This window comes from Homo sapiens, chromosome 1 (assembly GCF_000001405.40).
Source record: "Homo sapiens chromosome 1, GRCh38.p14 Primary Assembly".
Lineage (NCBI taxonomy): Eukaryota > Metazoa > Chordata > Mammalia > Primates > Hominidae > Homo > Homo sapiens.
The window spans coordinates 48,188,356-48,202,594 of NC_000001.11; positions in this window are offsets into that span (position 1 = coordinate 48,188,356).

A 14,239-nucleotide genomic window follows, 5' to 3' on the forward strand; every position below is an offset into this window, starting at 1 on the left:
AAAAATACCTCTTTATAACTTCTGAATTAGACAAAAGTCATTTTCCCTTTGTTGGGAAGTTATGTTTGTACTATGTGTTGCTGTGTGAGTCTTGTGACAGGGGAGTAGATAAAGAGGTTATCTATGTATGTATAAGTTATCCTCCCTCAAGAGATTGCTTGGTTAGATTTCCCTAGGGCTTGTCCAAATAAGTATGGACTATTCTAAACCACTAAGGTAAGACTGTCCAGGTTGAACTTATTGGTTAAATATTTTTGTAGCTTACCCCAGGAGAAATAGGGCTATTAGAAAGAAAGGTGAATTTAGAGGTTGAGTAAATATTAAGCAGGCACTCATTTTGGAAAGTATATTTTTGCCCCAAAGAGGTATTGAGTATTTAGACATTACCAGGGACTCGTGGAAGAATTGTAATTGGTCCCTTAAGTTATATAAAGGGGTGTGGATCTTTTCTTTTGGAGAGAGGAGGTGTCATTTGCCCCCATTACCCAACAGGATTTGTGGGAGAGTTGTTCAGAGAAGGAGATTAGTGAAGTAGGCAGCTCTTGGACCTAAGAGGGATTTATAATTTTACTTTTCAACTCCAGAGTTGCCCTTGGCTTCATCTTGTTGATGATGATGTCTCATTTGTAAGCCAATCAGAGTAGTGAGCCTCTTCAGCTCAAGACCACCATGATGGGTTGGGATTCTGTCCCAGGGGCCCTTTGGAACCCAGGGAAGTCCCATTACCAGTGGCCAAGCTTGTGACAGAGGAAGCAAGCTGTGCAGGGCTTTTTCCCATTTATCCTATTGGGACAGTTTGCCTTCCAGTGCCCTGGCTTCCCACACTGATGGCAGGAACCTGGGAGTATATTCTGACGACAACCTGGGGGGAGGCTGCAGGGCTTGTAGAGCAGCCAATAGTTGAGCCTGCCTCTTGTTCTTGCATTTTCCCTTTTCCTTACCCCTGTCCTCCTTATTCCACTGTCAATTAGAAAAGACTGAGGAGGCTAATTTGAGGTTTTCCTGCATGAGGCACTGGGTTCTAAGCTGACTTTTGTAATTGCCTCCCCTTTGTTAAGGATGGATCTGAGGGGCATGTCCTGTGGTATAGAGATGCAATTACCCATCTGTGAAAAGGGAACAGAAAATAAAAAAGGAAAGAATGTGTCTCCTCTTATTTCCCTATTATCCTTTCCTGAACAGGTCATCGCCCATTTGTCCATAGGGTTCTGGAATGAACCAGTCTCACCAGGTACCCTTAACCTTGGTCTTGGTCTCATCTCATCACAATTACCCTCTTGAGAACAGAGGAGATACTAGGGTAAACACAGGGATCCTATTCATTTCCAGGGTTCTGAAATTAACCAGTCTTATGGGTACCCCTAACCTTGCCTTCCTCTCTGTTCTATTGGTAATCTGCCCTGGGGTCAGCCTTCATCTCTCTGTCCTATGGGCACGTCTGTCTCTTGCATCTGCAGCCTTGGGCTGGCCTATATCCTTGTCTCCATGACCTTATAGTGACTCTAGCTTGGGGCATTCTGGCAACAAAATGATTATCTCTTTTCTTATAATCACATTTCCCCATGCTTTTTAAATATATGAGAAGCCTATTTTTTAGCTAATTTCTGCAAGAGGGCTGGACTTACCTCCCTTCAAATATGACCTTAAAAGTCTTGAGGTATACTAAGAAGGGCATGAAGATGATTAGAGGAATGGAGGAAATTTTGTATTTTGGGTTCCTCATCCTCCCAGGGTAATGTGCAGAAAAAATACTTGAGCAGACAGGACCATCCTATTACTATAGGAGGAAGCTGGAGGAAGAAGGGGGATACTCAAGGAAAGGCTTCATGTGCTTGCAAAAACGACAGCCCTTGGATTTGAGATGGCAACATTTATTTGCCCTTTTGACATAAATGAGAAATTCTGCAAGATGTGGGGCTTGGGATAAGGGCTCACAAATGCAAAGGAAGAATTTTCCCTCCTACCAAATGGGTGCTAACTCATAAAAAGCAAGTAGATGGGGTCCTTAAAGGGCCATAGAGGGAAGCCCTCTGCAGGTGAACAAATTGCTTCAAGAGCCACTGAAAAACTTGGCTATGGAGCATAACAGGGACAAAAAACATAGGGTAAGTCATAAGAAGCTGGCAGAGCCATGGTTCTAATTACTGTCTGTCCCAGCAATAAGCCAAAAGACATCCACAGGGGAGCCTGTTTCCTTGCAGCTGCACAAATGCAGCAAGAGCCACAGGTGTATGAATAATAGGGAGTGTGTGTTTAAGGCAGAGAAGGAAGTCTTATGGCATGTGAAGTGAAAGCAGAGAAGAGACATACTTGCCTTTGAGACAGACTGTCCAGTGGGTGTGCAAGGCCATTTCAGAATACACACCGAGAAAACAGGAGAGTAGGCAGTGTGGGTTTTGCGGAAAGACCTCATTTTCATTTCAAACGCAGAGGAAGCCCCAGACATGGCACCATCCTAGGCTTTAGCCCTACCACTCTCTCGAGCCTCCTGTCCAGAAGGGCTATTAGTGGCTCAGATCTGTTTGATGTGGACTTCAAGGTCTTTTCCACCTCCACAAGCCACTCATCAGTGTGAGATGAGAGATCAGCTGTGGGGAGCAGAGCCACTGTTAGCCCCAAGGGAAGAATCAGGGGAGGAATCATTCTGGGCGTTGCTTAGTAAGCAGGAGAGCAAAAGGGGAGAAGGAAACCACATAAGGAGGTTGAATACCTCCAGCCCAAGAAGGAAAGGCATAGAGGTATCTTACCACTAGGGAACGTATGTGAGTCATGGCACTGAAGTATGTTAGCAGTGGCAAAGACATACAAGTCAGCAGCAACTCGATTCTTGCCTCCTTGAAGGAAATAATTCACCCAAGGATTATAGGCAGAATGAAAGACCAGAGCAGGAGTGAAAGTTTATGAAAAATTATTGGAGCAGCAGTGAAAGCAAGTAAAGTACATTTGGAAGAGGGCCAAGCAGGTGATTGGAGATATCCAAGTGTGCTGTTTGACCTTTGACTTGAGGCTTTATCTGTTGGCATGCTTCCAGGTTTTTCATCTCTTCTACCCCAATTCTTCCCTTGGGGTAGACTGTCTGTATGTGCAGTGACCTGCTAGCACTTGGAAGTGGCCACATGTGCAGTGTGTTTACTGAAGTTGTGCACCTGCTCATCTGAGGTATTTTTCATTTTTCCCCCGCCAGTCGAGTGGTGACCAATTACTACTTTAGAGAGAAAATTTAACATCCCCCATGACTATCATCTGATGGTCACTTGACAATTCTGGCAGACTTAAATGTAAGGCTCAAACTATAAAAATTCTGGAAGACAACATAGGTGATACCATCCTCGAAATAGGAACGGGCAGAGATTCACCTCTCCCTCTCCCTCTCCCTCTCCCTCTCCCTGTCCCTCTCCCTCTCCCCACGGTCTCCCTCTCTTTCCACGGTCTCCCTCTCATGCGGAGCCGAAGCTGGACAGTACTGCTGCCATCTCGGCTCACTGCAACCTCCCTGCCTGATTCTCCTGCCTCAGCCTGCCGAGTGCCTGCCATTGCAGGCACACGCCGCCACGCCTGACTGGTTTTGGTGGAGACGGGGTTTCGCTGTGTTGGCCGGGCTGGTCTCCAGCCCCTAACCGCGAGTGATCCGCCAGCCTCGGCCTCTCGAGGTGCCGCGATTGCAGACGGAGTCTCATTCACTCAGTGCTCAATGGTGCCCAGGCTGGAGTGCAGTGGCGTGATCTCGGCTCGCTACAACCTACACCTCCCAGCCGCCTGCCTTGGCCTCCCAAAGTGCCGAGATTGCAGCCTCTGCCCGGCCACCACCCCGTCTGGGAAGTGAGGAGTGTCTCTGCCTGGCCGCCCATCGTCTGGGATGTGAGGAGCCCCTCTGCCTGGCTGCCTAGTCTGGAAAGTGAGGAGCGTCTCCGCCCGGCCGCCATCCCATCTAGGAAGTGAGGAGCGCCTCTTCCCGGCCGCCATCACATCTAGGAGGTGAGGAGCGTCTCTGCCCGGCCGCCCATCGTCTGAGATGTGGGGAGCGCCTCTGCCCCGCCGCCCCATCTGGGATGTGAGGAGCGCCTCTGCCCGGCCGCGACCCCGTCTGGGAGGTGAGGAGCGTCTCTGCCCGGCCGCCCCGTCTGAGAAGTGAGGAGACCCTCTGCCTGGCAACCACCCCGTCTGAGAAGTGAGGAGCCCCTCTGCCCGGGGGCCACCCCATCTGGGAAGTGAGGAGCGTCTCCGCCCGGCAGCCACCCCATCTGGGAACTGAGGAGCGTCTCCGCCCGGCAGCCACCCCGTCTGGGAGGGAGGTGGGGGGGGTCAGCCCCCCGCCCGGCCAGCCGCCCCGTCCGGGAGGGAGGTGTGGGGGGTCAGCCCCCCCGCCCAGCCAGCCGCCCCGTCCGGGAGGTGAGGGGTGCCTCTGCCCGGCCGCCCCTACTGGGAAGTGAGGAGCCCCTCTGCCCAGCCAGCCGCCCCGTCGGGGAGGGAGGTGGGGGGGTCAGCCCCCCGCCCGGCCAGCCGCCCCGTCCGGGAGGGAGGTGGGGGGGTCAGCCCCCCGCCCGGCCAGCCACCCTGTCTGGGAGGTGAGGGGCGCCTCTGCCCGGCCGCCCCTACTGGGAAGTGAGGAGCCCCTCTGCCCGGCCAGCCGCCCTGTCCTGGAGGGAGGTGGGGGGGTCAGCCCCCTGCCCGGCCAGCCACCCCGTCCGGGAGGTGAGGGGCGCCTCTGCCCGGCAGCCCCTACTGGGAAGTGAGGAGCCCCTCTGCCCGGCCACCACCCCGTCTGGGAGGTGTGCCCAACAGCTCATTGAGAACGGGCCAGGATGACAATGGCGGCTTTGTGGAATAGAAAGGCGGGAAAGGTGGGGAAAAGATTGAGAAATCGGATGGTTGCCGTGTCTGTGTAGAAAGAAGTAGACATGGGAGACTTTTCATTTTGTTCTGCACTAAGAAAAATTCTTCTGCCTTGGAAAAAAAAAAAAAAAAAAAAGGAACAGGCAAAGATTTTATGACAAAGACACCAAAAGCAATCACAACAAAAGCAGACATTAACAAATGGGATCTAATTAAACTTAAGAGTTTCTGCACAGCAAAAGAAACTATCAATAGAATAAATAGCCTACAGAAGAGGAGAAAATATCTGCAAACTATGCATCCAACAAAGGTCTAATATCCTGCATCTATAAGGAGCTTAAACAAATTTACAAGAAAAAAAATAAGCAACCCCATTAAAAAGTAAGCAAAAGACATAAACAGACATTTTTCAAAAGATGACAAACACACATAGCCAACAAGCTTATGAAAAAAGAAGCTCAATATCACTGATCATTAGAGAAGTGCAAAGCAAAACCACAGTGAGATACCATCTTACACCAGTCAGAATGGCTATAAAGGTCAAAAAATAATAGGTGCTAGAGAGGTAGTGGGGAAAAGGGAATACTTATACATTGTTGGTGGGAATGCAAATTAGTTCAACCAATGTGGAAAGCAGTATGGTGATTTCTCAAAGAGCTGAAACAGAACTACCATCTGACCCAGCAGTCTCATTACTAGATATATACATGGAGGAATATGAATCATTCTACCATAAAGATACATGCATGCAAATGTTCATTGCAGCACTGTTCACAACAGCAAAGACGTGGAATCAACCTAAATGCCCATCAATGACAGATTGGATGAAGAAAATGTGGTACGTATATACCATGGAATGCTATGCAGTCATAAAAAAGAACAAGATCATGTGCTTTGTGGGAACATGAGCTGTTGTGGGAGCTGGGGCTATTATCCTTAGCAAACTAACACAGAAACAGAAAAAATAATATCGAATGTGCTCACTTATAAGTGGAAGTTAAATGATGAAAACTCATGAACACAAAGAAGGGAACAACAGACACTGGGGTCTGTTCGAGGGTGAAGGGTGGGGAGGAGGAAGAGGAGCAGAAAAGATAACTATATGTGTACTAGGTTTAATACCTGGGTGATGAAATAATCTGTACAACAAACCCCTGTTACACGAGTTTACCTACATAACAAACCGGCACCTAAAATAGAAGTTAAAAAAAAAAAAACTTGAAGTCAAAGAAAAAAAAACTGCCTTTGTAGATGATATGATTCTTTCTACAGAAAATCCCAAGGAATCTCAAAACGAACAAACAAAACCCTCGTGAAATTGATAAGTAGTTATAGAAAGGTTTAGGATACCAAAGTCAATTGCTTTCAGTTGTATCTTTGCAATTTCCTGTGAATGTATAATTATTTCAAAACAAAAAAAAAAGTCTTAAATGGAAAAATGACCTACTCTCATAAACCACAAATATATGTAATCTTGCTTGGGCTTGATAAATAAATGGTGATAACTTACAAAATGACAAGAAGAATTACTGTTCTCTTTTGGATTTATTGATGGGAGGTAAGCCGAGGAATCCACCAAAAACCTCTGGAAATGAAATAATTTATTTTAATATTAACTTATACTGAATCATGCACACAACTGTAGCCTCACCTTTCAAATAATATTAGTATTAACATTTTGGTATATTTCCATCCAGTATTGTGTGTGTGCTAAAAATTGAAGAATTCCAAAACTTTACCGTTCATGAGAATTACCTGCAGGGTTTTTTTAAAGACAAACCACTGGCAACACTCCAGAGTGTCTGACTCAGTAGCTCTAGGTGGAGTGCAAGAACTTGCTAACAAGTTCCCACGTAGTGCTGATAATATTGATACAGGGAACACATTTTTGGAATGCTTGACAAACACTATAATTCTATTCTCTTTTTTTACACTCCAGAATACATTATGAACCTGTTTTATTGTTGGTCTTCAAAAACATAATTTTAATAGATTTACAGGTTTCCAGTGTATTTCTGTCCCATCATTTATTTTTAAATTTGTATATTTTGTTGGAGCTCCAAAGGGGCAAAAATTATAGCTCCCCTTTTCTTTCAGTCTAAGTTTTGAATTAATTGAGAAAATAAAACTATATAGTAAAGCAGGAGATCAAAATATTACTTTTATTAAAGAACAAAACTCTGATATTGGGAAGTGTGTGCAGTATCTATGAGCAAGTCAGCTTCTGAATACTAAATCCAGGAATTAAGCAAACCTTCCCATTCCAGCACTGGAATTCTTGCACCACCAGGGATTCTCCCTGATGGCATATGCCCAAAGGCAGTTGGGGGCACACGGTCTGTGTGGGTTGCTTGACTCCCAAGAGAAGAATCCGTGGCTATCCCCATCAATAATAGGAAAACAGCAACCTTTCAGTACAGCTCTATTCCGCTTTCACGAGGCTATTCCACAGCACCATGGTTTAACACGGTTTAAAGTCACATGAGATACGACAGGTGAAAGAGCTAAGGACAAGCCACGCCAAAATATGCCGCTTTGACATATTAATTATTTCCAGCTGATGACACTTGAGAAACAGCAGATGCAGGAAGAGTCATCTAACGGCTCCTTTTCTACTGAAAACAAGCCACAGAATTTTCCATGAGAAAGATTCCCTCCCTGTGCCAGGAAGAGAAGAATACCCTTATCACCAGAGACTGGGAATCAATGCCGAAATGGATCTGTACAAACAAACATACTAAAATAACCCTTATCTTCCACTAGTTTTATTCCCTGCCCCACCACCACCATATATCTCCTAGTGACTTCTCCACAACTTACAGCTCCTAGTTCAAACCCTTTTGTCTTGTCATTTCTTCACAAATGTATTGTTGGGGCTCAGAAACAGATACCCCAAATTCAATGCGTTGACAGGCTGAACAGAAGAAGCCTCAAGGTTTCTCTGACCTTCTCCCTCTGCTGTCTCTCCCAAGGAAGGTGAAGTTCCTTTATCCATACAGTCTATTGTTTTTTTTTTTTGTTTTTTTTTTTCCTTTTTCTGGAGAACGGGGTCTCGCTATATTGCCCAGGCAGGTCTCGAACTCCTGGGCTCAAGCTATCCTCCCGCCTCTTAGCCTCCCTGAGAGCTGGGATTACAGGCGTGAGCCACCGCGCCCGGCCCCATACAGTCTAAAGATAGAGGAATTTCCTTTATCCATACCTACTTCCCCTTCCTGTAAGACCACAAATGTGACCACACCAGAACAGGCCCTTTCACTGTCAAAGAGAACTATTTACAAGTTACTCTCAGTTCCAGAATCCATTCATTCTCCTTCATAATCCTTTATTGCCCCTCAATGGAATTCCTCTTCTCACCACTCCCATAACCTGTTGTCAGGATGTTACATAAGCTTCTTAACCCCATTGCAAGTGAGTAGTCACCCTGTAATTCCCTCCATGTGCACTTTCTGTGCATGTTGCATGAAGGCAGTTCACTTCTTAAATTTGTGTGCATTTTATCCTATTAAGCTGTCTCATGTCGGTGATTTTTCAGTGAGCTTTCCCTACAGTATCATTTCTTTATTTAAATGATATAAAAGCTTTCTGTTCCAGTCACTCCTTCAGGTCTTTGTCCTCTTATAAAGATCCCCATATATGCAGTGGCTCATGCCTGTAATCCCAGCACTTTGGGAGGCAGGCAGATCACCTGAGGTCAGGAGTTTGAGACAAGGCTGGCCAACATGGCAAAATCCCATCTCTACTAAAAATACAAAAAAAAAAAAAAAAAAATTAGCTGGGCGTAGTGGTGGGCACCTGCAATCCCAGCTACTTAGGAGACTGAGGCAGGAGAATTGCTTGAACCCAGGAGGTGGAGGTTGCTATGAGCCAAGATCACACCACTGCATCCAGCCTGGGTTTGGGAGCAAGAGTCTATCTAAAAAAAAAAAGAAAAAAAAAGGAATAAAGTTTGCATGCTGTTCTTCTGTTAATCTGTTTTATGTCGGTTTCATTTTTGGGCCTAGCTAGAAACTCTAAGAGGATAGAAAATTTTTTCCTCTCCCACATATGCATAGGTTTGAATAGAATACTGCTCCTCAAGCTGATGAAACCCCAGCTCCTTTAGGGCTCTATGGGTGGATGTGTTCTTTATCATCCAATTATTAAGATTAAATTCCTGCAACTCAGATTGGGCCGGGCAGAACAAACGTGGCGATTGGCAAAGCACGTGGTTCCTAAGACAGCCTGGGAAAATTTCTTTCTCCCCCAGTCACATGCCCCAGAAACCTTCCCTACCTACTCATTGGCCTTTTATCAACATCAAAGCCTTCCCATCAGGAAGTAAAGATGTTACCCCAACCCACACAGAAGTTAAGGAAAGAGCAATGAAAAATGGATACTACATGCTTTTTGTTAACCTAAAAGGAAAAAAAAAAAGACTGAGGCAAAATTAATATAAGTAGAGAGTTTACTGGGGCCACATTTGAGGACTGAAACCCAGGACCATAGATTCAAGTTGCCCTGAATATACACTCTGATTGGCAACAGTTACAAGTTATTTTTTTGTTTTGTTTTCTTTTGTTTTTTGAGATGGAGTCTCTCTCTGTCACCCAGGCCGGAGTGCAATAGCACAATCTTGGCTCTATGCAACCTCCATCTCCCAGATTCAAGTAATTCTCCTGCCTCAGCCTCCCTAGTAGCTGGGTTTACAGGCACCCGCCACCACTCCCGGGTAAATTTTGTATTTTTGTTTTTAGTAGAGATGGGGTTACACCATGTTGGCCAGGCTGGTCTTAAACTCCTGACCTCAAGTGATCCACCCACCTCAGCCTCCCAAAGTGCTGGGATTATAGGCATGAGCCACTGCACCCAGACTCAAGTTGGTTGTTTTCTTTTGTTTTGTTTTTTCAGACCAGGTCTCACTCTGTCACCCAGGCTGGAGTGCAGTGGCGCAGTCATGGCTCACTGCAGACTTGACCTCCCAGGCTCAAGTAATCCTCCCAACTCAACCTCCCAAGTAGCTGGGACAACAGGTAAGCACCACGACATCTGGCTAATTTTTAAATTTTTGGTAGAGACAGAGTCTCACCATGTTGCCCTGATTGGTCTCAAACACCTGGGCGCAAGCAATCCACCTGCCTCGACCTCCCAAATTACTGGGATTATAGGTGTGAGCCACTGCGCCTGGCCACAGGTCAAGTTTTAAAGGAAAAAAGGAGGAAGTTTCTATGTTGTTTATCAAGATGTTCTTAAAATAACATAAGCTATTGATTGGCTATACATTGTTCTTTGTATCACGAATTTCAGAAACATGAAGATAATGAGTGAGGCAACTAGTCAGGAACAAAATATCTTTAAAAAATTGCCCCCAGATATAGGTGCAGGGTGGAGGTGGGGGTGACTGATGTCCTAAACTCTTGTTTCTCTGGGCCTGATAAGTCTTCTATACCTCACATGACTCAGACTGCTCTGAGTTATTTTTTCTTCTCATTTCCTAAAAGCAAAATCTGATGGATAGCACAAAGGTCTTGCAATCTAGAAAGAAAATTCAGCCATTCTTTCAATAATTATGTAACCACCCCACAGATTCTCCTTACCTACTTCCCAGATACAGCCAGTTTATCAAGACAGGGGAATTCCAATAGAGACAGAGTTTAATTCACGCAGAGCCAACTGAACAGGAGACTGAAGTTTTATTACTCAAATCCATGTTCTCAAAAATTCAGAGGCTTGGGCTTTTCAAGGACAGGGGAGGCAGGGGAACAGGTTCTGCTGATTATTTGAGGATGCAATCCTAGGGGTGTGGAACACGGTTGCAGTACACTGAGTCTGCTTCTGGGTGAGGGCCACAGGACCAGTTAAGTCCAGAGTCGTGGGTCCAGGTGGGGCCATCCAGTCATCATAAATGCAAAAGCCTGAAAAGACAACTCAAAAGGCCAGTCTTAGGTTCTGCAATAGTGATGTTATCTGCAGGAGTAATTGAGGAAGCTGATTTCCAGAATAATGACTAGTCATCATTTATACCTACATCTTAGCCGAATTCAGCCTCCTCTCATCCTCCTAACCTGATGGTCTTAGTTTTACAAAGGTGGTTTAGTTTGGGGAAGGGCTATTATTATTTAAACTATATACTAAATTTCTCCCAAAGTTAGCTTGGCCCAAGCCCAGGAATGACCAAGGTTAAGGGTAAGATGGGGGTTGATTAGATAAGATCTCTTTCTCTGTCATAATTTTCCCACTGTTATAGTTTTTGCAAAGGTTGTTTCAATTAGGGATTTTCTATGTGTCTGGCACTGTGCTGGGGATAATACAACGAGCAAACAAAGGCCAATCCCTGTTCTCTGGAGCTTGTGGGAAGAACACGGATCTTTGAGAGCTCAGAGTAAGGGAGTGGGCCCAGGAGAACTCACTGGCCAAAAGCAAGAGCATGTGCAGAGGTCCTGCAGTGGGAAGAAGTACAGGACATTGCCAGGAAATCTAAGACAATAGCAGGTGAAACATAGCAAAATAGAGGGAGATTTGAGGCAAAATGAGGCTGCAAGGCAGACTGGGCAGGGTCTAGTAGACTATGTTCAGGAATTTTAGCTTTATTCTGAGAGTTCTGGAAAATCACTGAAAGGTTTTAAGCAGAGTGTAAGATTTGGGAAGGACATACACAAATACTCATTTGAAACTATCTCTTTGGCTTGAGTGTGAGAAAAGATTGGAGAAGGGAGGAAAGGCCAGGTCAGTGACTCTGCCATCACCTAAGTAGTCAGTTAACAAACGCTCCATCTAGCCTGCCCCACACGTGCCTGCAACAGGCAGAGCAAAGTAAGGCAAACTCAATCCCACTCTCAAGCAGCTCAATCTTTTCTTCTGCCCACATTTGCCCCCATCCAGTGCTACTTTAGAGACATTCCCTTTTCTCCTTTCTTCTTATTTCCTCAGGGCTAAAGCCTGATAAATAGAGTCTGGCTTTCTAAGCAGAGATCTGCATTTAGGGAAAAGAAATAACACACAGCAACCCCACCCCTCAGTTTTACATTTTTTAACTTAAACAATTCTCTTTTTCCAGCAGAAAAGCCAGGATGTCACTGTTTATTCACAGCCAGGTCTCCACTCTGCACACTAAAAGTCACCGTAGTGTTTGCAGTCCTCACTCAAGCAGTGAGTGTAAAAGGAATTCCATCTGTCTCTAAAGATCTTTTGACAGGAATGAAAGACCTGTGAGGCAGTGGTTTATTCACCACAGCATCTTGATAGCTCAAGCTAAAAAAAAAAAAAAATGGCTAGCAGGCTGACATTACCAAAGCAGACACTACTTCTCTTTTAAAATTGGTTTTCCTGAGGCTAAATGCTAAACTTTATAGTTTTTGTAATTAAATATTATCCTGATAGAGTCAAATCAATTATAGCAGATAATAACTGCTTTGCTTTTGATTCTCTGGATAATGAATTAGTTGTCCTTACCAAATCTGATAGCCCTTTGGCAAATTCTTTATTCAAATCACTCAACACGTTTGTCAAGAAAGAACGTGGTTAAGTCCCTGGAAGCCTGCCTCCAGATTGCCATGGTAGCATCAGCTACTGCAGAGTCATCAAACATACATTTCTCCATATTTCCCTCAAGAGATTTTTGGAAAATGTCCTTTTGAAACACCAACATGAAAAGCTTTGACTGCTGGGCCCATTACATAATTGATGCCTAAGAACTACTTAATTGTTTGGTCAATAGATTCTCTTAGATCTGTTAATCAATTAATCTTAAAAACACAGGTAAAGCAGTAAGGCATGTCTCACATGACTTAGTCTCAACGAGACCCACTGGCTTCCATCACTCCCTGTTTCTTCCTCCAAGTAGTCGCAGTGGATCCTTTAATAACCTGTGAGTCTCCCTTGACATTCAAGCATACATGGGTGTATGTTTACACTCCATTTATTTACCCATCTCAAAGGGAGCCCCATTCCCTTCTGCCCCTCCTGCCCCTCCTTTCTTGGCTCTGCAGCTCTCCAGTTCCTATGGGGGCACCATAATCTTTCTCCCAGACTAGTGGTTTCAGTGATACTCTTCTGCAGACCAGGCTCTCTCTATTTTCCTACAAATACAGATTCCCTCTAGTCAGGCACCAGTCGCCTCTTCTTGGACCCAGCCAAGCCCATTACAAAGGAGAGACATGTCCCTCCTCAAATTTTGGTTAAATACCATGATAATGTGTTGAACATGCTCCCAGCATTTCTTACTCATTGACTGATACTGTCCCTCTGCTTGGACCCTATCTTCTCTTCTTTTTTAACAAAACCCCATTTATTCTTCCTGCCTAGCTCAAACCCAACCGTCTTTAGAAAGCCTTCAATAGTATTCTCACTCGATGAGATGTATTCTTCTTTAAAGCCTTACATCAGCATTGTAGGAAGGTTTTAGAGTCCGAGGCTCACCTAGATGGGCATCTAAATTCTCTGCCACAAATAACAAACCATTTGGCCACTCTGAGCCTTGGTTTCTTCAGCTACAAAATTGCATAGGAATTCTTTGAGGATTAAATCACATTTTAAAGTGTTTTACACCTGGCTAGCACTCAAAACTAAAAGCAACTATCGGTATTATTTATTTTGATCTCTTGCTGTAATTAGGCTCACTTTTATTATAGTGTTTATAAATTCATTTTTGCTTCCTCCTGCACTTCCTCCCCTTCTCCACTGTGAGAAACTTGGGAGACAACCTAACTAATCTTTAGAAGCCCAACCTCAAAAAGGGGCTAGGATGGAGAGCATTTATTACTAGAAAAACTGACATTATCTAGAATTCTCTGTTGTACAATTCAGAAACCATGTGTGTGGTTATTTATATTTAAAATTAAAAATAAATTAACTTTAAAATTGTGTTCCTTGGCCACACTGGCTACATTTCAAGTGCTCAGTAGCCACATGTGGTTAATGACTAAGATTTTAGACAGCACAGACAGAACATTTTCATCATCGTGGAAAATTCTATTAAACCACACTGGTCTAAATTCTAAATGCAATGACGTACTGTTCAGCAATAGCTCAGACTTCCAGCTGCCCAGAAAATCCCCATCTGATGCTAACACTGCAGGCAGATGGGGTCACACATAAAATAGTATATGGAAATACCACTAATGCTTTACTCCTCATCCCTGAATGGGAACGCCTCTGAAAGATGCTGAAACCTGCCCCATTGCGCCACCTTGTGCCCAACCCTTGATATTGCACATTCAATGTGCAAATAATTCTTACATATCCACCATCCCACAAAAAGCCGCAGAGAAGAGAATGTCCTGGGCTTACACAAAGCAACTTCCTAAATGCAATGGACTTTCTGAGTTACTACCTCTCCATGGCAAGGGCTTATGAAACACACACAGATCTCTCCATGCTCTGAACTCCTGTCTCAATGAAAGTCATGAGGGTTGTTGGTGTTTACCCAGGC